The 2084-nt window shown below is 40.2% G+C and overlaps 1 annotated feature.

Moving 5' to 3' along the window:
- Nucleotides 313-662: an enhancer, noted in NCBI's record as "active region_29794". NCBI's record gives its function as "activates an Ori minimal core promoter by ATAC-STARR-seq in GM12878 lymphoblastoid cells {active_cell/tissue: GM12878}" and the evidence as "EXISTENCE:reporter gene assay evidence [ECO:0000049][PMID:35858748]".

Below are 2084 nucleotides of genomic sequence, written 5' to 3' on the forward strand. Positions count from 1 at the left end.
TCTTTGGGCAGTATGGCAATTTTAACAATATTAATTCTTACTATCCATGAGGATGGATTGTAGGGACCAGCCCTACAGGGTCTGTGGGTTTTTCTACTCTTGTGCGGAAATGAGAGATTGTAGAAATAAAGACACAAGACAAAGAGATAGAAGAAAAGACAGCTGGGCCTGGGGGACCACTACCACCAAGACACGGAGACCAGTAGTGGCCCCGAATGCCTGACTGCACTGCTATTTATTGTATACAAGGCCAAAGGGGCAGGGTAAGGAGTGTGAGTCATCTCCAATGATTGGTAAGGTCACGTGAGTCATGTGTCCACCAGACAGGGGGCCTTTCCCTTTTAGGTAGCTGAGGCTGAGAGAGAGAGGACAGCCTACGTCATTATTTCTTCTATGCTCTTCTCAGAAAGATTGAAGACTTAAATACTTTCACTAATTCTGCTACTGCTATCTAGAGGGCGGAGCCAGGTGTACAGAATGGAACATGAAAGTGAAACAGGAGTGTGACCGCTGAAGCACAGCATCACAGAGAGACGGTTAGGCCTCCAGATGGCTGTGGGTGGGCATGACTGACGTCAAGCCTTCCACAAGAGGTGGTGGAGCAGAGTCTTCTCTAACTCTCCTGGGGAGGTCTGCTAAGTAATGAGTGCCTTCCCTAGGCACTGACGCTACTGCTAGACCAAGATCAGCTAAGTAACGGTTGCCTTCCCAGGCACTGGCGTTACCGCTATACCAAGGAGCCCTCTAGCGGCCCTGTTCGGGCATGACAGAGGGCTCACACGTCTTCTGGTCACTTCTCACCTTGCCCCTTCAGCTCCTATCTCTTTATGGCCTGGTTTTTCCTAGGTTATAATTGTAGAGAAAAGATTATTATAATATTGGAATAAAGGGTAATGCTATAAACTGATGATTAATAATGTTCATATATCATCATATCTATCTATAATCTATTTCTAGTATAACTATTCTTATTTTATATATTTTCTTTATTATATTGGAACAGCTTGTGTCCTCGGTCTCTTGCCTTGGCACCTGGGTGGCTTGCTGCCCACAATGGACTATTTTTCCACTTCTTTGTGTCATCTTTAATTTCTTTCAACAGTATTTTGTAATTATTTTCACGGAGATCTTTCATCTCCCTGGTTAACTGTATTGAGTAGGAGTGGCTAGAGTGGGTATCCTTGTCTTGTTCCATAAATTCTCAATGTTTTTGTAAAATGAAAATAATAACATGTATCTCATAAAGGCGTTTTGAAGGTTAAATATAAAGTACCTACAATAGTACCTAATACACAATGTACGACCATTATTAATGTTACTGGGAGAGGAGATGATTAACAGCTTATTGCAACCAGGCAAGATACAAATGATTCCATATTCAGACAAACACATCTATAATTATTAAATAAAGCTTCTGGTCTAGAGTAGAGTTTATATGCTGGAAATCTTCTCAGGGGCATTATTACAATGAGGATCTGAAGAATGCATTCCAGAAAATTCTAAAAATGTCTAAACCACTTCAACTCTTTGCAGTTCTCCCAACCCCAAAGATCAAGGCAAACCAACTCCTGGCAACCCAGTGTTCGTATTGTGCTTTCTGCAGGGTGTAACTGAAGAGAAGTAAAAAATGTCAGTGTGTGTTGAAAGATTACCTGGGGCTCACCAAGTTGCTTAGTATTCTCTCACCTATATTATCGCTTTCAGGAATGTTCTTAGATAAAGATGTAACCAAATTTTTTCCTATCTTTGTTGTCTATCTTCAACCTACTCCTAAATGTTCCCTCCCTCATCCCTTCAGCTGAAAGATGCACTACTAATTTGGGTGGTTGCTAATTAAGATCTTAAACTGTGATCCCCTCTCCTGGAGTATGTGAGTTTTCACAGTGTACAAAAAAAGATACATACACACACACATACGCATACACACGCCACTCAAAACTTTTAACATGTAACAGAATGACATTATAATGATGAAATGCATATAATATTGTATATAAGCATATATAAGTAAATGTAATTCTACAAATATATCTGTTTGCACTGCTGTTATATAAATGTGTCTGACTTTGAACAGAAATAAAATA

This window comes from Homo sapiens, chromosome X (genome assembly GCF_000001405.40).
Source record: "Homo sapiens chromosome X, GRCh38.p14 Primary Assembly".
NCBI lineage: Eukaryota > Metazoa > Chordata > Mammalia > Primates > Hominidae > Homo > Homo sapiens.